Source organism: Homo sapiens, chromosome 8 (genome assembly GCF_000001405.40).
Source record: "Homo sapiens chromosome 8, GRCh38.p14 Primary Assembly".
Taxonomy (NCBI): domain Eukaryota; kingdom Metazoa; phylum Chordata; class Mammalia; order Primates; family Hominidae; genus Homo; species Homo sapiens.
The window spans coordinates 26311813-26331700 of record NC_000008.11 but is presented as its reverse complement, the minus strand read 5'-3'; the positions used below and the strand labels follow the sequence as shown (position 1 = coordinate 26331700).

The window sequence follows — 19888 nt, the reverse complement described above, 5'->3', positions numbered from 1 at the left end:
AATGGGGCTGCCAATGTAGTATTCTAATACGAAATTAAATGTTCATACCTGGAAGAAAATGCTCTCGTCAAGCTGGCTATAATAACTCGTATCTTTCTACAAATAACATTTGACTTCCTGTAAAGCTCTACTAGGTAATCAGTCTCCTCTACTTTTTGTTATATTTCAGTAAAAAAGACAAAGACTAACAAAGAACACTAAGACTACATAAACAAAGGCATTCAGAAAAAGTACCCAATAAAAATGTGTGATTTTTACCACTACTACTTTCAAGAGGTTAAAGTAAAAGATAAAAATCAAAATTAAAAATCTGATAACTGGTCTTGTTTCTGGCCACAAAGGAGTTAAGATAACCTGAATTTATTGTCCTGCTGTGAAAGATTAGAAAACTGAATAGAATATATGAAACAACTGTTTTTCAGACAACGGACAATGAATGTGGGTTGGATACTCTTAGAAAGGAAAAGAAAGTGATTCCTGTAGTAGCTCTTGCTTACTGACTGGAAGCACCAAGACAGCATGGTGAGAGTTATGAAGAATCCAGAGGCCAGAGGTTAAAGCAGCTACAACGTAAAGGCAGAGTACCCCAAAAAAGGTATCTATAGGCGGCTCACTTAGAATCTTTGGCTGAATACTGATCTGGGCATCTATGAAGTGACATGAGGCTCTGAAAAATTAGGGTCCCCACCAGCCAGAGAAGAGAAATCCCCACCAGCAGGTAGAGTTCTCACAAGAGTGTCACACCTTAGTAATCAGGCTAAATCAGCACTAAAGACTAAACTTGTCCTAACAAAGTTTAACAACAAACATTTGATCCTTGGAAAGGATCAAATCTATCCCAAGTGTCTCAACTATGTGCTAGAACAAAATCCAACACTCTACAATGTAAATTCACACTGTCTGGTTTCCAATCCGAAATTACCAGGAATATAAACAGGCAGGAAAATACAACCCATAATCAGAAGAAAAACCAGTGTAAACAGAGCCAGAAGTGACAAAAATGAAAGAATTAAGGTCCTAGCAGACACGGACCAAAAACAGCTTTTGTAAATATGCTCCATATGATCAAGAATAAATCATGGCCCAGGCACAGTGGCTCACGCCTGCAATCCCAGCACTGAGGCGGGTGGATCACTTGAGGTCAGGAGTTTGAGACCAGTCTGGCCAACGTATGAAACCCTGTCTCTACTAAAAAAACAAAAAAACTAAGCCAGGTGCTGTAGCGTGCTCCTGCGGTCCCGGCTACTCAGGAGGCCGAGGTGGGAGGATTGCTTGAACATGGGAGGATCGCTTGAACCCGGGAGGTGAAGTTGCAGTGAGCCAAGATGGTGCCATTGCACTCCAGCCTGGGCGACAGAGCCAGACTGTGTCTCAAAAAAAAAAAAAAAAAAAAGAAAAAAGAATAAATCATCAACATGATGAGAAATAAAAGACGAAAGACAAAAATGTGACTAAAAATAAAAAAACATACTATTTGAAGTGAAAGATACATTGGATAAGACTAACAGATTTAAATACTGTAGTGGAAAATATCAAGAAGTTGAAGAACTACCCTATAATCAAAACAAAATAAAGCAAAGACAGGAAGAAAAAGTAACCAAGACCTGACCTGTGGGATAACATCAAGTGCTCTAACGTAAGTATCACTGCAGTCCTGGGAAGGGGCAGGGCGGGACTATTTGAAAACATGATGACTAAATGTAAATACTCAAGGTATGATGACACTGTATGCAGAGTACTCAACACAAAGGGTTCAGTGTTAAATGTAGACTTACACGGGTATATGGTACCCACAACTCAAAATCCATTAGCAGCATTGCAGTAGTGATGTGATTTTGCAAAACTGTGAAGAATTCTTTGTAAAAAAAATCCCAACATTTCAAAGTATAACATTCCCTTGATTTACACAGTAAACTTTAGTACTAAAAGTCGTGGCCTCTATCCCCTGAAAAAACCCTTGGTAAGTAAAACAGTTTGTAGGCTTAGAAAATAACCAAGCTTTTTTCCAGCATCACGAACATTTGGCAGTATATTCTAAGCTATGCAGACCATCGAACAATTTTTCTTGTTCAAAACTGTCCTGCTAACTGCCAAATAGCTAGCATACTTGACCCATGCCTAATAAATACAGATGATGTCCCCAAAGTCTGGTGGAATTTTTTTAAAAAGAATTCAATAGGAAAAGGGGGTTTTGTACTATGCAGGTAGGTAGATAAAAGGTATGGTGAGAATGTAACAGTCATAAATTTTTATGCCCAATGCCCAATGCAGATTTTAACTTTACAATTTCAGGGTTATTAGGAATAAGGAGTTGAAAAAAAGGTAGTAGAAGACAGGAACAGTGATGGGAGCTGGGAGGGAGAAGGGATAGACACCTAAAAAATATAAATGACAAATACACAGAAAAATTATACCAAATTAAAAGTATATATTTCTTCTAAAAAGGTATGCAATTAAGAGTCACAGAGAAACTCCAAGAAATCAAATTATAAAGACCATACTGTCTGACCACAACAAAATAGCTAAAGATTAATAGCCAATGGTTAAATCAACCACTTAGGAACCTTAAAATCAGTACTGCAATAAAGGTACTTTAAAAAGTTTTATAGGAATCTAAATATGTAAATATTTAAGATGGCATTATGTTCATAAAAAAGATACAATTATCACTATAAACTAACCAATTCACAAAAAATAAAGTGTAAGAAACCCTGAAATCTCACCCCTGGAACAGTCATTTAGCAGATTCATGCAAACTGCAAATTATGTATCAGATGTGTTTATATACAATATGATTTTTAAAGATCACTTGTAGTAATGAGATTATCATAACATAGGTTTTTAATTAAAATTAACTTCATTCCTTAATCTCACAAATAAACTACTTTGTAGAAAAAGGATAATCATCACTCTTAACCCCACTTCTGAGGAAACCACTATTATTTTAGTAAATATTCCTCTGCTGTCTGGCCATATGTGCTTGCACATACCCAGTACAAAAAAATAACAAATCTCTAAGAATATGGTCTACGATGTATCACCGAGTTTTTAAAATGTTACAAAGTACATTTGATCCTGTTTGTATAAAATAAATAAAACAATCAGGGAATTATGGAATAGTTACCAGAGCTCGGAAAGAGAAACCAGGTGACAGGTATTTGATAGCTATTTGCATAAAACCATGGAAACTTTGATAATAGATGGATTTCCACAAGGTGGAAAAATGATATGCCACTACACACCATTCCAATGATTAAGATTTTTTTAAAAAGAGGCAATACTTAGTGCAGGTATTGGGCAATTACTTTCACATATTCCTGGTGGGAATGCAACTTTTACATATTAATATTACCATAAAATCACTTCTGTCATTCTATAGTTCATACTAAGTTTTTAGAACTGAACTCTCTCAGTGAGTTCTATAAAGAAGTATAAATATATTGAGAACAAAAGGACTAAATACATCAAAGGGTTAAACCCATAACTAACTCCTTGACATATATGGTTATGACTAAAATGTCTATCCTGGAATAATAGATGGATCATTTAGTAAACTGAGGCTCTGAAAAAGTTAAGAAACTGTATATGTTAGCTTACTCAGAAATTTTAACATATGCCTGCATCTTGCATTTCCTAATATTAATCTTCTGGAACTCACTGGTTTTGTTCAGATGAGGGGGAGGAGTGGGTGAGAACACAGCTGGTACTATAGATCACCTTTACCTCTGTTCAATTCAAAGGTCTACTGTCGAAACATTCCGGCACAAAACAGCACAGAAATCAGGTTCTCATCTTGATCTGGTTTGTTCCAATGGTTAGAATATACTATTCTGTTAGGTCACATGACCCATTTTCATGATCTTCTCAGCTGTATTTCTACACAGTAAATGAACTTTACAATTGGCCCCTCATAGCTAATTAGAGTATGATTAACCCAAATTTCTTTTCAAAGGCACCAATTTCTTCCCAATATAAGAGAACATTTTACTGGATAATACATCTATAAAATGATAGTTTCTTGCTGAAAGGTAGCTTAGCTAATCATTGTAAAATGATTTCCCTACAGACCACTACGACGCTCTTTTATCACTGCTGGCCTCTAGAGGGAGCTCGAAGTTCTTGCTATTTTTCCCAAAGGGCAGGACATTCCTCCCAGAAATGTGTGATATTCAGGATTTAAGAACGTTTTATTGTAACGCCCTGAAAAGCAAGTTTGGTTTGTCCTTTAGGAATCCCTTCCTCCTTAAAAGTGAATAAAGCTTGACCTACTCATCTGTTCCTGATGGGAACAGGTTCCAACCATTCCTTCCTCTCCTTTTAATACTCTTCAAAGGCTCTCCCCACTTGGGATTAATTAACTTATTTATTCCTGTAACCTGAGGCTGAAGGGCGGGAAGGGCAGTAGGCATGGAGGGGCAAATGTTCCCTCTCGCTGATGTGAGTGCAGCAGGCTGGTGAGCTTCTACTTTCCTTACGTCAGGGCACACCCTCGATTTAATGCTTATGTAACATACTCTAAAGAGAAGATGGAGCTGCTCTTGTCTGCCCAGGCACTCTAGTCAGCTAAGACCCCACTCAGGCACCCGCTTCCAAGGGCTGAAGGATCTTGGCACACCTGTAACACATTCTCAGGGTCCACAAGGTAACTTCCAGAGATGTGTCCTGGAACCAGTTTCCCTTCTTTGTAACTTGTTCCTGGATAATCTGATAGCCCGTTTGGATAAAATGGAATGGAATCATATCCTACTGCAACCAAGAACAGAAAGATAAACAGCTGCTAATACATTTAGTCTATAGGTGTGGTTTTTTAAACAGACAATAAGCCCTGGTATATAACTGTTACATATGTTAGAAAGAAGAGCTCTAAATTGAGCATTCTAGACTTAAAGTTAGTTATCATCTTCATTAGATGTTCCTCAACTTTTAACTGGCTAATTAACTTCACAAAAGCAAACCACCTCATTCAGTGGCCTTATTAAGTATAATGTAAATAGCTTCTCAAGGAGATTATACAAACAAGTAGTACAGTATGAAACTCTTGCATCTATGTATGCCTAATTAAGGTATTTTTATAATTAGAATGGGTATCTGGCTATTAATATCTCCCTAAAATCTTTACAAATTAGGATTACTATGGCTATGCTATAAGAATCAGAAAGCACTTCACTATCCATCTTTCTTGGTAGAGTCACACCCAATACAGTTTGTTTCCTGCCAGAATTGTTCTAGTTCACCCACAAACTGAAAACAAAGAGGCAAAATATTTAGAGAAAATGGCGGAGTCTTTAAGGTATGTTACAAAACATTTTACAGACTTTATTCCAATGACAAAAAGAAGTCCACTTGGGAATTTTAAGTAAAAGCAATCCAGTCAGACATGCACCTTAGATTGCTCAAACTGAAGTGAAGGAGACTGAGAACTGGGAGGAACCTAAGCAAAGGGAAAACTGGAGACCAACCTGGAGTTACTCCACAGAAATCCCAGTTTAGCAATGATAGTGACCTGAGCCAGTAATAGTAAAATATGGTTATCATTAGACAGCAACATTTAACATTTACCTAACAAGCCAACATGGTGGCTCACACCTATAATCCCAGCATTTTGGGAGGCCAAAGTGGGAGGATCACTTGAGCTCAGAAGTTCAAGACCAGCCTGGGCAACATGGCGAAAACCCGTCTCTACAAAAAATACAAAATATTAGCCAGGCATGGCAGCGCACACCTGTAGTCTCAGTTACTTGTGGGGCTGAGATGAGAGGATGGCTTGAGCCCAGTAGGCTGAGACTGCTGTGAGCCAAGATCTCACGCCACCACACTCCAGCCTGGGTGACAGGGTGAGGCCCTATCTCAAAAAATAATAAAAAATAAATAAAAATAAGTAAAGTTTACATACTCTATGTTAGGTATTTAATCATCACAACAAAACTATTAAGTTGGCTGTATCAATATACCCATTTAACAAATGAAGAAATTAAAGTACCAAGGCCAAAGAGGGGTCATAAGTGAACAAACTTTAAGATACATTTCCAAAGTACATAAAACAAGGCTTGATAATTGATAAAGTGTGGACAGCTACAGATGAAAGCCAAGAATAATGTTCAGGTACTTATGCAGCTGAATGCACCTAATATCATTAATAGGCAGATACTTATCTTACATGAAATATTATTTAACAGCATCTAAACAGGGAATACAACTGTATTAGTCCGTTTTCACGCCGCTGATAAAGACATACCCAAGATTGGGAAGAAAAAGAGGTTTAATTTAACTTACAGTTCCACATGGCTGGGAAGGCCTCAGAATCATGACGGGAGGTGAAAGTTACCTCTTACATGGCGGCGGCAAGAGAAAAATGAGGAAGAAGCAAAAGTGGAAACACCTGACAAACCCATCAAATCTCATGAGACTTACTATCACGAGAATAGCACAGCAAAGACCAGCCCCCATGATTCAATTACCCCCCCATGGGTCCACCCACAACAACATGTGGGAATTCTGGGAGATACAATTCAAGTTGAGATTTGAATGGGGACACAGCAAAACCATTTATCATTCTGCCCCAACCCCTCCAAATCTCATGTCCTCACATTTTAAAACCAATCATGCCTTCCCAACAGTCCCCCAACGTCTTAACTCATTTCAGCATTAACTCAAAAGTCCACAGTACAAAGTTGCATCTGAGACAAGGCACCCTAGATACAGTGGGGGTACAGATATTGAGTAAATATAGCCATTCCAAATAGGATAAATTGGCCAAAACAAAGAGGGTATAGGGTCCATGCAAGTCCGAAATCCAGCAGGCCAGTCAAATTTTAAAGCTCCGAAATGATCTCCTTTGGCTCCAGGTCTCACATCCAGGTCATGCTGATGCAAGACGTAGGTTCCCATGGTCTTGGGCAGCTCTGCTCCTGTGGCTTTGCAGGGTACAGCCTCCCTGCTGGCTGCTTTCACAGGCTGGTGTGGATTGTCTGCAGCTTTTCCCGGGGCATGGTGCAAGCTGTCGGTGGATCTACCATTCTGTAGTCTGGAGGATGGTAGCCCTCTTCTCACAGCTTGGCGAGGCAATGCCCCAGTAGGGACTCTGTGTGGGGGCTCCGACCCCACATTTCCCTTCCGCACTGTCCTAGCAGAGGTTCTCCATGAGGGCCCTGCCCCTGCAGCAGACTTCTGTCTGGGCATCCAGGCATTTCCACACGTCTGAAAACTAGGCAGAGGTTCCCAAACCTCAGTTCTTGACTTCTGTGCACCCACAGGCTCAACACCACGTGGAAGCTGTATTAGACACTATTTCTAGGTACAAGAGTAAGACAAACAAAAATCCCTGCTCTCATGGATCTTACATTCTTGTGATAAACACATACTATAAACAAATTAATAATATAAAATGTATCAGGCAGTGCTCAGTGCTCTAAAAATATAAAGCCCTAAAACAATAAAAAGTCATGGAGTGGGGAATACTATTTCAGGTAGGGTGGTCAAAGAAAGCCTCTCTGAGGTGGTGACTTAGGCAGAAACCAAAATGAAGACATAGGAATGAGCCATCCAAACTTGTTGAAGGAAAGCATTCCAGAATGCCAGGCCTAATGAGAAAAGAGGCTGGCAAACTTGATGCAAACAAGAAAGCCAGTGAGATTAATGTAGACTCTGTAAGACAAATGGTGGCAATGGCCTTGTAGGCCACGGTAAAAGGGCAGTGGACTTGTCCTAACATGTGATAAGACACTGGAGAGGTTCTAAATCTGTTGTGTGAAAACAATGAAAACTGGAGGAAGGAAGAAATGGTTCCTATGTTACTGCAGTAGCCTAAGAGAGTAGAGGAGTCAGAACTCAGGTGGTAGCCACAGAGAAGTGGAAGGGAGTGGGGCTGAAGACTGAGCAGATCACAAACGGCCAATGACTTAATCATAATGAAGCCTCCACGGAGTTTGGAGGGCTTCCAGGAAGGTAAACTAGAACACATCCAGGAGCTGCGTAGGTGGCGCACTCCAACTCCACGGGGATAGAAGCTCCTGCATTCAGGACCCTTCCAGACCTTGTCCTACATATCTCTTCATGTAGCTGTTCATTTGTATCCTTTAAAATGCCCTTCATAATAAAGTGGTAAATGTTTGCCCTGAGTTCTGTGAGCCACTCTAGCAAATTAATCGAACCCAAGAAGGAGGTCTTGGTAACCTCTATGTATGGCCACTTGGTCAGAGGCACAGGTAAACAACCTGGGGCTTCCAACTGGCATTGGAAAAAGTGGGGGCAGTCTTGTGGGACCGAGCCCCCTCAACCTGGGGAATATGATGCTATTTCCAGGTAGACAGTGTTGGAACTGAATGGGGGGACACCCAGCTGGTGTCTGCTGCAAAACTGATTGCTTGCTTGATGTACAGAGAAAAACTTACAGATGAATATATGTTATCAGAAGTGTTGTGCAAGAAACTGTGTGTGTGTTTTCTACATAGTCAGCTAGATTGATCTGACAGCAGATTAGGGAAAAGGAGATATAATTAGGGTATCATCAGCTCAGAGAAAACATTTAAAGTCACATGACACTTAAATGTGATTTCCTAGTGAATAAGTATAGATAAAGAAAGCCAGAGGTCTGGGCTAAGGATTAAGCCTGGAGACCAGGTAAAAAAGGAGACTGCACAGGAACTTCTAGTGAGTAGGAAGAAGTTTTCTGGAAGCTAGGCAAAGACCGTGTTTTTAAAAGGAGGCAGTGATGAATTGCATCCAAAGGTACTTAAAGATCAAGAGAGGGCTGAGAATGAAACTTGGTTTTGGTGACTTGGAGACTTTTTAGTGATTTCAGCAAAAGTGGTTTCAATGGATTAATGTCTTTAAAAACTGCTGCTTCCTGTGGCTTTATTTATCGTCAAAAGGAGAGGGGAAGCTCTGGAATTGAACTAAGTTGAAACCACCGTTCTGACGGTCTGAAGTTTGGCTTAAGAAGGGCATCCTCTTAATAGCTGTCAAAGATGAAGATTTTCCCCTACTTTTATATGTAAGTTTTGGGTTGTTCTGGGAAACAGGATACAGAGTTAAACAATGCTGAAGTTGACTTATCATGCTTCTGAGATGCTAACTACTCAGCTGGGTGTAGTTAAGTCTTTTTTTTTTTCCCAAGTAGTCGAGTGATATACTTTGAGTTCCTGCACACCTATAAAAAGCCATCTTGTTGCACTGCCTATGTAAAGGATAACTTCATCAATTTAGGATTCTTAGTTTATCATAGTTTTTTCCTCAGAGTTCTCTGGAAGACACTCTACCACAGCACTGTCCATCAAAACTTCCTACGATAGAAATGTTCTATTCTGCACTGTCTAGTACAGTAGCCACTAGTCACACACAGCTACTGAGCACCTGAAACGTGCACAATGCAACTGAGAAAATCAACGAAAACAAATGCTATGTTCCTTATATTTTTGTTACAATTTTCAACTTCTTTTTCCCATTGTATTGAGGGAATATTTCTAAAACCCTGCTGCTACTTGACTCCAGAGAGTCACAAATTTCACTTAAGAACTCCTTCCTGCTCTCTGATTCTTTCAAATTCTCATCAGTCTCCCAGAGCAACTAATTAGCTGCTCTTTAAACTTCAACAGTTTCTCTTGTTTCCTGCACTAAGTCTATTTCATAGGAAGTTACTGCTCATACTGGTCAACTTCTTTTACAGTACCTACTGAATCTGGATGTGTCTATCATTCTCTGTATGTATCTTTAAAGAAAAGGGCCTGTGTTTATGTAATATTGGGTACTGTGTTGGGTTCAACCAGAAAACACATTAGAACCAAGTTCAAATCTTAGACCGAGGAGGGGAAATGTTGACATTGTTACTTCCTATATAAGTTCTCTATTGCTGCCTTAAAAATTGTCCCAAAGGTAGCAGCTTAAAACAACAAACACTTATTATCTCATAACAGGTCAGGAATCTAGGTGTGACTTAGCCAGGGGGCCTTGCGTTCAAGGTCTCTCACAAAGTTGCAGGTATCCGAAAGCCTGACTGGAGGAGGAGATCTACTTCCAAGCTCGTGCGCCTGGCTGCTGACAGGTGTCAGGTCGCCAGCTGTTGGCCAGAGACAACAGATCCTTGACATGTGAGCTCCACAGGGAACCACACAAACATGGTAGCTGGCTTCCCTCAGCAAGTGAAATAGGGCAGCCCAACATGGATGCCAAAACCTTTCTGTAACCTAACCTCTGAAGCAGCATCCCAGCATCTTGCCCCACTTGTGGAAGCAAGTCACGAGAGGTCCAGAAACACTCAAAGGGACAAGGTTACACAGAGACATAAATACCAGAAGCCAGGGATCACTGGGGCCACCTTAAGCGGCTGCCTGACAAAGAAGGCAGCCTGGGGGCAGAGTTTCAACTTTGTGCTTCTCTCTCAGGTCACATTTCTCTGGTCACATTTCTCTTGGTAAGAGCCATTTAGTTTTCAATCCCAGTTTCAAAGTACAGAATACATGAACCAATTGTCCAGTGGCTCCCCCTTCAATTCTAACTCTGGCTATTCAAAGTAGGTCCTGTCACTTACTCCTACTAGCGCTTCACAACCACAGAAATGAACACTAAGGCCTTCTCTCACGATGTTTCTTGTTTGTACTGTTTCCTGCTAAAATTTTTTTAGTTTAGTTATGGCACCGTTCCAGGGTTTCCAAGGATACTGAATTCTCCTTATTATGCTCGTTGGTCATTTCAGTGTGTCATCTGTCTGTTTTAACACATGGGCTTAGGTAACCATCCTCCTCCCAAAGTCAAGACAAGCTATTTGTTTAAGTAAGGCCCTCTAGACATTCTTTAAAAGACTGTTTCGATAACTGTGACAGGAAGTGCTTGCTGGTGTTCCTAGCCATATAATTCAATTCTATTGTTGGATAAAACAAAGATTTTTAATCTACACCATCAATCCCCAGGATATTTTCTACCATGTTAATTTAAGTAACTGCTTTCTTTTAAAAAAATAATAATAATACCACCAAACTTGGTTCCGTTTAAAACATCACAAAACTTAGTGAGCACAGCAACACTAACAATATACCTACAATTGTAAAAGGCAGGGAGACACAGCTGCTCAGCAGTATGAACTAATTGCACAGACAGGATAAACTAGCCAGAGTTATAAAGAAGTACCTACAACTGCATGCCCAGCAGTGGGCACCTGGCACTGTGGAATATACATAATACTTAAAGACTAATCGTAAGTTAGAATACCAGCAGTATTTTAACTCACAAACCAAAATACCCACTTCTGGTTTAACAATTAAAAAAACGTTCCCTACATCATGTATCTCTTTTACCCTCTCCCAATAGCTTATTCACTCTATCTCCTGAGAATATTAATGATATCGGAGGGGAAGAATCAACCAAAACTGAATCAGGCAGCAACGTATTTGCTGATCTGACACCTTGGAGTACAACATGTAGAGTTTGCCAAATAACCAGGATTCTGCTTTTTCGTCTTCTGCTGATGAATACTCAAGAGAACAAGAGAGTTGACACCCACATAACGTCTACCACATATGGCTGTACAGGATATAACCAACACAGGTAGCTATCCTGTACAGCACATGTAAGGCACAGTGCCTAAGGGTCAAACCTGATCTCACCAGATTTCCAGGTGAGGTGTTGAAAGAAAGGTGATTTACAAACATTTTAGCACGGCACTTAGGGAATAAAATCACTTACCTTGGCAAAGATACAGGACACAAAATCACACAAAAATCAGTTGTTTCTACACACTACCAATGAACAACCCAAAAAGGAACTTAAGAGAACAATTCCATTCACAGTAGCATCAAAATGAATAAAATACTAAGGAATAAATTCATCCAAGGAGACAAAAGACTTTTACACTGAAAACTACAAAACACTGCTAAAATAAATTAAAGACATAAATAAATGAAAAGACATTCCATGTTCATGGATTGGAAGATTTAATTCCTAACAAAATCCCTAAAGCACTTTTTGTATAAATAAAAAAAAATCCACCCTAATGGGTTCTATCAATGGAATAGAGAGCTCAGAAGTAAACCCCTGCACATATGGTCAAATGATTTTGGACAAGGCTGCCAAGACCAACGAATGGGGAAAAGTACAGTCTTTTCAAAACATGAGAGTTAGGAAAACTGGATATCCACACACAAAAGAAAAAAAAATGGACCCTTGCTTTACATCATACTAAAAATTAGCTCAAAGTGGATCAAAGGGCTAAAGACCTAGAAGTATAAAATTCTTATAAAAAAAGTAGAAAGTGTTAATGAGAAATTAAAACCCTTGCGTATTGCTGGTGAAAATGTAAAATGGTGCTGCCACTATGGAAAACAGTATGATTGTTCCTAAAAAGTTAAACACAGAATTACTATATGATACACTAGCTGCACTTCTTAGGTATATACCAAAAATAATTCAAAGCAGGGACTTGAACAGATACTTGAAGATCAGTGTTCATAGCAACACTATTGAAATAGCCAAAAGGTGAAAGCAATCCAAATGTCCATCAAGAGATGAGTGAACAAACAAAATGTGGTACATACATAAGATTATGCAGCCTTAAGAAAGAAAATTCTGACATACGCTATAACAGTCACAAAAGACAAATACTGTAGGATTCCACCAATATGAAACATCTAGGAGTCAAATTCATAGAGACACAAAGTAGAATGGGGGTTGCTAGGTGCTGGGGAGACAGGAATGAGGAGTTAATGTTTTAATGGGTATAAAGTTTTAGTTTGGGAAGATGAAAAGAGTCCTGGATATGGATGGTGGCGATGGCTGCACAACAGATTTGTATGCACTTAATGACACTGAACTATACACTTTAAAATGGTAAACCTTATGTGTATTTTACCACAATAAAAAGATTGTCATCCCACATAAAAAGTCCCAAGGCATGGCAAGTAAACCCAGGGCTAGTTAATTCATTGGCTTAATGTTATCAAATATCCAGGTTCTGTCTATCTTTATATTCTGACAAAAAATAGTTACAGGGCTGGGAACTAAGGTTCTCACTGTGAGAGCCAAAAGACATAAATATAGAATGAGGGAAGTAAGGAATAACCCTGCGGTATCAATTTAAATTGGAGGTATCAGTATAAACTGGTATTTTAAAAGTTTCACTACAGAGTATTTCAATCATATACAAAAGTAGGCAGAAGAGCATCATATGAATTCCTGTGTACCTATCACAGAGCTTCCACAATTATACATTCATAGACAATCTTGTTTCATCTATAAACCCATGCCACATTATTTCATGTACATCCCAGACATCAAATTATTTCACCCATAAATATTTCAGGAAAGATTTATAAAAGACCACCATTTTCAATATAATCAAACACCATTACCGTACCTTGAAAAAATCAAAAGCACTTCCTTAGTATGAAATATCCAGTAACTGTTCAAATTTCCAATTGTTTCATGTCATAAAAAATATTAAACTATTTGAATTAGGATCCTATAAGGCTTTTACAGTAACACTGGAAGGAGGAAGGAAAGAGGAATGAACAAAGTCCTGAGTAAAAGTTCTAAGAATTAGTAGCTGTAGCAGAGACTAATCGTCCCTAAGAGTGGCCATTTCCCCCTTTCTCCTTTAGTAATGGCACATCCTGGCACCTTCACTCTCAGAACCCAAAAAACCACATACACACAGAGTTTTAACAGGAAATTAGAGGCTGCATGTTTCTCTAATACCAAGTTCTAAACAATAGGTTATGAATAAAATTTCTGTCACATCATTAAAAGGTAGCTACTTGCCCTTCTCTCTCTTTTCTCCCCCATGGGCTAGATAGAACACAGATTTGAGCCAGATCTGACCGTGCACACAAGAGCAATACACCTAGACCCTGAGCAGAACAAACCTGCAATCCTGGGTAATCTCTGGCAAAACCAGCTTATCCACTTCAGATCCCTCTCTGCCACCAATGGTCACGTGAGAGAGAAACAAGCTAATTTTTTGAACCACTGTGTATGTGGGTCTTTAAAGTAGTTTGGTCAATAATACATATACTAGCTTGTGTGACTGTGGGGATTTGTCTGGGTCTCCTTTTACTGGTTCAAAAAACTGGGAAGTGCTACTAATTTTTAGCTTATTTCATTTCCCTATTTTAAACAACAAAGTGTACATTTAGTAAAATAAACAACTGAAGTTATCATATATTTTAAAATGAGATGACATATTGCAGAATTTATCTATCCATTCAACAAATGCCCACTAAATGCCAGATACTGTCCTGTGCCTAAAAATGTTACAGATGCTAAGAATGAAAATCACAGAACAAAAAAATCAGGATTTCCTCATACGTGAAACTCACAAACTGGAGAGAAAGAAGCCTACATACAATAAGCAAGCAAACAATAAGTAACATCATTTCAAATAATAGTAAAGATATTTTAAAAACAGATAACATTAAATGTACATCTCTTTTGGGGTTGGAATGGAAATGAGTTAATTTACACAGGGTAGTCAAGATTATGAAGGAAGGTCTATTTCAGAATAAAAGGGGCAAGTTCAAAGCCCTCAAGAAAGCTCCTGTGGCTGGACCTACTAGTGAGCAAGGGGAGAATGACAGGAATGACCTCTGGGGTAGGCAGAGGGAGCACAGTACTAAACCTACGATACAAATGTTGTACTACTAGTAACAGGCGAGTATTCCTGATGGAAAACAAAGAAAGCCATTACTCTCTTAATCCTTTGTCTTAGTTTCAAGACAAATCATCTTCCCAATGGAAAACTGGTATTTTAGTTGCCCTGCAATCAGTAACTGACTATAATCTTATGTTCTACTTTATGTTGCTATGGACTAAATGTTCATCCCCCACAAAATTCACATGTTGAAACCTAATATGATGTATTTGGAAGGGAGGTCTTTGGCAGGTGATCCGGTAATAAGGGTGGAGCCCTCATGAATGCGATTAGTGTGTCCCTATAAAAGAGACCTAAGAGAAAGCCCTTGTCCCTTCTATCATGTCAAGACACAGTTGTCTCTGAACCAGAAAGTAGGTCCTCACCAGATCTGCAGTTGCCTTGATCTAGGACTTCCCAGCCTTCAGAACTGTGAGAAATAAATGTCTGTTGTTTGTTTGTAAGCCACCCAGTCTGTACTATTCTGTTAACAGCAGCCCAAAAGGTCTTTGACAAATGTCTTCATTCTAAGACAAATATATGTGTTAATTTAAATTATTTCAGGAGTAAAAAAATATAAACTGATTTTTATCTAAGAAAGCTGAAGTTTTCTCTGATATATTAAGTTCTTTAAAACCTCACGGCTTTTGGCTGACTGCTTCATGCCTGAAATTTAGGTCTAAAAATGCAGGTTAGTATCTTAGACAAAAGCTATTTTAATTTGTATCATTTTTTTGCTATTAATTGAAGAAAGAAAAGGCCATTAAAAACAGTACACAAGCTGGGCATGGTGGTTCAGGCCTATAATTCCAGCGCTTTGGGAGGCTGAGGCAGGTGGATCACCTGAGCTCACAAGTTCGAGAACACCTTGGCCAACATGGTGAAACCCCATCTCTACTAGAAATACAAAAGAAATTAGCCGGGCGTGGTGGCAGGTGTCTGTAGTCCCAGCTACTCGGGAGGCTGAGGCAGGAGAACTGCTTTAACCCAGGAGGCGGAGGCTGCAGTGAGCCGAGGTCGCACCGTTGTACTCCAGCCTGGGCAACAACAGTGAGACTCCACCTCAAAAAAAGAAGTACACAATATCAGAATTTAGATTTAAGAAAACAAATCTACTTTTATATAAATTCTGTGAATTCCCCTTTTCTATTGCATAGAAAGTGATTACCAAGTGTTCTAGACATGAATGAAAAGAAACTATAAACATTTTGATACACTTGTTAAACATGTAGATGTAAAACACGCATTTATCTTCTAAACCCACTAAAATGACGGTAAACTAATAAAAACAGTCTAAAATAAGAACAAAGAAAACGCAAGGCAACAGCAGAAGGAAGGTAACAACCAATGTGCTGAAAAATAGAAAACTCAGCAAAATAAAGTGAAACCTCTGAGCATGCAAAAGGGGTTGTCAAGTCAGGACACAGAAGCACCAGGTACCTTGCAGGGCTGCAGTGAAGCATGAGACTCAAAACAGCTATTGGTTGAAACATCTATGCAAGACACAGAGAAGCTAGACTCTAAAATAGAGAACACATTTACCTTCTGGAGAAACTGAACCTGACCTTGAGAAGGTATCAATTTGAGAGGAAGCTGGTGGTGAGGCGTCAAATTAAAAACAAGATTAAATGAAAGGCTGCATAGTAATCCATGAGTTGCTCGGTGATCTTCCTGGCTCCCAGAATGTCAGCAGCCAGGCTTAAGATGTGACCCATCCCACTTACCCACCTCCCACTGAGATAAGACACTAGAAGTTCCTTCTCATCTAGAGATACTGACTGCGGGTCCCTGGCTCATCACCCTACAGTGAAGCCCACCAGCCGAATATCTCTGCCAGTGGACACAAAGCTCCTAATTTACTCTTACTACCTCATTCTTAAGAACTAACAGACAACCAAGGATTCCCAGATACCAGTCTACCAATATGAATAAGAAAAAAGAAACTCAAAGGAAATAGATGCTCAGATTAGAAAATGAAAAGAAACCCAAAAAACTATTAATCTTCTCAAAGACAAGATACTCCATTTATAAAACCGGGGCTGCTTAAAACTACCACCACCAACATTATTTCCAAAGAGCAAAAGAGCTCTTAAAAATGCAATGGTAAAAATAAATGAAAGAGTTGAGAACAAAACTGAGGAACTCCCCCAGAATGTAAAGCAAAAAGGAAATGGAAAATAGTTGGGGGGGGGGGGGGGAAGGGAAAAAAAAAGAGGACCAGTACAAAAAGTCCAAGATCCAGATAAGTTCCAGAAAGAACAAATGAAACAGAGAAGGAAAAAACAGAAGGAAATGAATCTACAAGCTGCAAGGGTCCAATGAGTACGAGTCCAATTAATGAAAAAGACCCACACCAAAGCACATCATCCAGAAAGGAAAAATCAGTAAACAGAATGGCATTAGTGTTCTCAAATGTAACACCGGAAGCTAACAGACAAAAGAAACACCTCCCAAATTCTAACGGAAAATGTTAACCAGCCAAACTTGAAAGTGTGGAAGTAGAATAAAGACATCTCTTCCAGGCAGGCAAGATCTCAAAAATTTTACCTCCTATGAAACCTTTCCCATAAAGCACTGGATACTGTGCACCATCCCAAAATAATAGCATAAAACAAGAAAGAAAAAGATGTGAGATCCAAGAACAAGGAGCTCCAACACAGCAGAGGCAAAAGAATTCCCACGATGATGATGATCACAATGATAATGATGAAGGAAAATCCCAGGACAACAGCTGTGCACCAGGCTTAGAAACTGCCCAGATTGAAGCACGCGGGTTGGAGGGATAGAGCTTAAGGCAAAAGTAAAACTGATACAACATCTGATGTGCTTCAATATACTAGGAGGGGATTCAGTCTCTGCAGAGGATTTGAAGATGATTTAGTGACAGATTCACAGAAAACGAAACGAAGTACTCCAGACTGAAACATGATGGAGAACTCCAGGAAGAACATAAACTGATTCTTCTTGATCATGTGGAAAATTACATTAGAAGGCTTTTGAAGGTGCAGAAAGAAAACAGTGATGGGAGATTAAAAGCCAAATGAATAAGGTAATTTTTAACTCTAAAGAAAACAATAATAGAAAAAAATCAGAATTTATTATACAGCCCGTATGTACAATGTCCACTCCTGCGTGAGTTTCCTATGGCTGCTGTAACAAATTACTGCAAATTCGGTGGCTTAAAACACCATTAATTTTTTTCTCTTACAGTTAAAGTCAAAAAACAGTTTCACTGGGCTAAGGTGAAGTTGTCAGCTGGGCTGGTTCCTTCTAGAAGCTTTAAGGGGAGAATCCATTTTCTTGCCTTTCCTCGCTTCTGGAGGCCACCTGCATTTCTTGGCTTGTGACCCTTTCCTTGCAATCACTCCTATCTCTTGCTTCCTCCTTTGATTTTCTTGCCTCCCTTTTATAGCATCCTTGTGCTTACATATTTACAGCCTACCAGGATAACCTAGGATGATCTCCCTATCTCAAAAATCCTTGATTTACTCACATCTGCAAGTCCTTTTGCCATATAAGGTAACAGTCACAGGTTCCAGAGATTAGGACGCAGATTTCTTTCGGGGACCATTATCCAGTCTACTACAACTGTGAACACTGGCTTAAACAATCAACACAGTGTAACAACACCAAGAAAGCTGGGAGGAGCAGTAGGAAGAGCCTAGCGGACCTCAGTTCTTAGCTACCATTTCCATCTGTGGATTGCTTTTAAAAACAGCTGTATGAGCATGTAGTTTAGAAATATGAAAATAGGCCAGGCACGGTGGCTCATCCCTGTAATCCCAGCACTTTGGGAGGCCAAGGCAGGCAAACCACCTGAGGTCAGGGGTTTGAGATCAGCCTGGCCAACATAGTGAAACCATGTCTCTACTAAAAATACAAAAAATTAGCCAGGCATGGTGGCGCGCATCTGTAGTCCTAGCTACTTGGGAGGCTGAGGCAGGAGAATCACTTGAATCCAAGAGGTGGAGGCTGCAGTGAGCCAAGATGGTGCCACTCCAGCCTGGGCGACAGAACAAGATTTCATCTCAAAAAAAAAAAAAGAAAAAAAAGAAATATGAAAATAAACACCAGAAGAAATAGCTAAAAGAGTTTGGGAAAGTGGATCAAGATGAGGACAGGTGAGAGAAACAGAAAACTGTTCATTTGCCTTGTAAGTATTTTGAAATATGGACTTTTATTTAAAAACTATATACATGAGCTACATGGATAAAATAAAAATCAATCTAAAACAACATTAAACTTAGATAGCTGGTAAGGGAGGCCCTGATCTGAGATGAACAGGTGCCTCAAGGGTAAGGAAGCAAACAGAAAAATGGCAAAGATAAAAATTTAAGGGCAAATTACCAGCAAAAAACACACCTTTGCTAAGTATAGTAAGGTCTTAGACCGAGCCAAACTTGAAATTGAAATACAAATTTAAAGTAACAACTAGAGATGGCTAACGTGTTGCAGTATGATGCAATCTGCTCTTTTAAGAGCTAGTGCAAAACTCCCAAAGAGGTATTTTATTCATTTACAGAAGAAATGTTAACTGATGTGAGAACAGCACAATAGATCTATTTATTCTGTCAAAAATGCTGAGTAAAAAAATTAAGCTACTAGGTCTCCCTTACCCTTAAAGAGAGGCTATAAGCTGCCTTGCCACTCAAAGTATAGTCTGGGGACCACCAGCAGCAACACCAGCATCACTGGGAGCTGATCAGAAATGCAAAAATCACAGGATCCCCCACAAGACCTAAATGCACCATCATCATCTGTATTTTAACCAGATTCCCAGGACATTCACATGCACATAAAGCTAGAGAAGTGTTGATTATCAGGCCAATACAACTCTTTTAACAAAACAGCACACTTCTGAATAAGGAATTGAGGGGAATTAAGCATGTTCACTGGTATAATAACATTTGCTTTCCATTTCTATTCTCTTCAGACTTCTGGAGAATTTTCCAAGGGCTCTAAATATATTTGTCAGCCTACTTGAAACTCTGATAAAAGATTCAGATCATCATACAAACAAGTGAGTAGAAGAACGAGGAGAAAGAGAAAATATTTATAATGTAAAAAATATGCTATTTACAACGTTGCCCTAGGTAGCAAGGGGAGCCAATAGCAGGGTGTTTTAGAGCCTCCGTGTGCCTGACACCATCCCTTCAGATGTTCCCAAACTCCATCCCTCCCTGCTATGAGAAACTGACACCAATAGTGAAGGGTGCTTTGGACCCTCCTGCATGTTCTAGGTGCACCCCACCCCACCCAATTATATTACTCTTG

General features: G+C 39.4%; 1 protein-coding gene across 10 annotated transcripts in view, besides 1 other annotated feature; it reads right to left on the bottom strand.

Annotated features, from left to right (window-relative positions):
* Positions 1-19888, bottom strand: part of PPP2R2A (protein phosphatase 2 regulatory subunit Balpha) — an 81173-nt gene that overhangs the window by 40980 nt on the left and 20305 nt on the right. The gene's annotated exons all lie outside the window — the stretch shown is intronic.
* Positions 17134-17428: a silencer, noted in NCBI's record as "tiled region #13890; HepG2 Repressive non-DNase unmatched - State 19:H4K20". NCBI's record gives its function as "represses a minimal TATA promoter and a strong SV40 promoter by Sharpr-MPRA in HepG2 cells {active_cell/tissue: HepG2}" and the evidence as "EXISTENCE:reporter gene assay evidence [ECO:0000049][PMID:27701403]".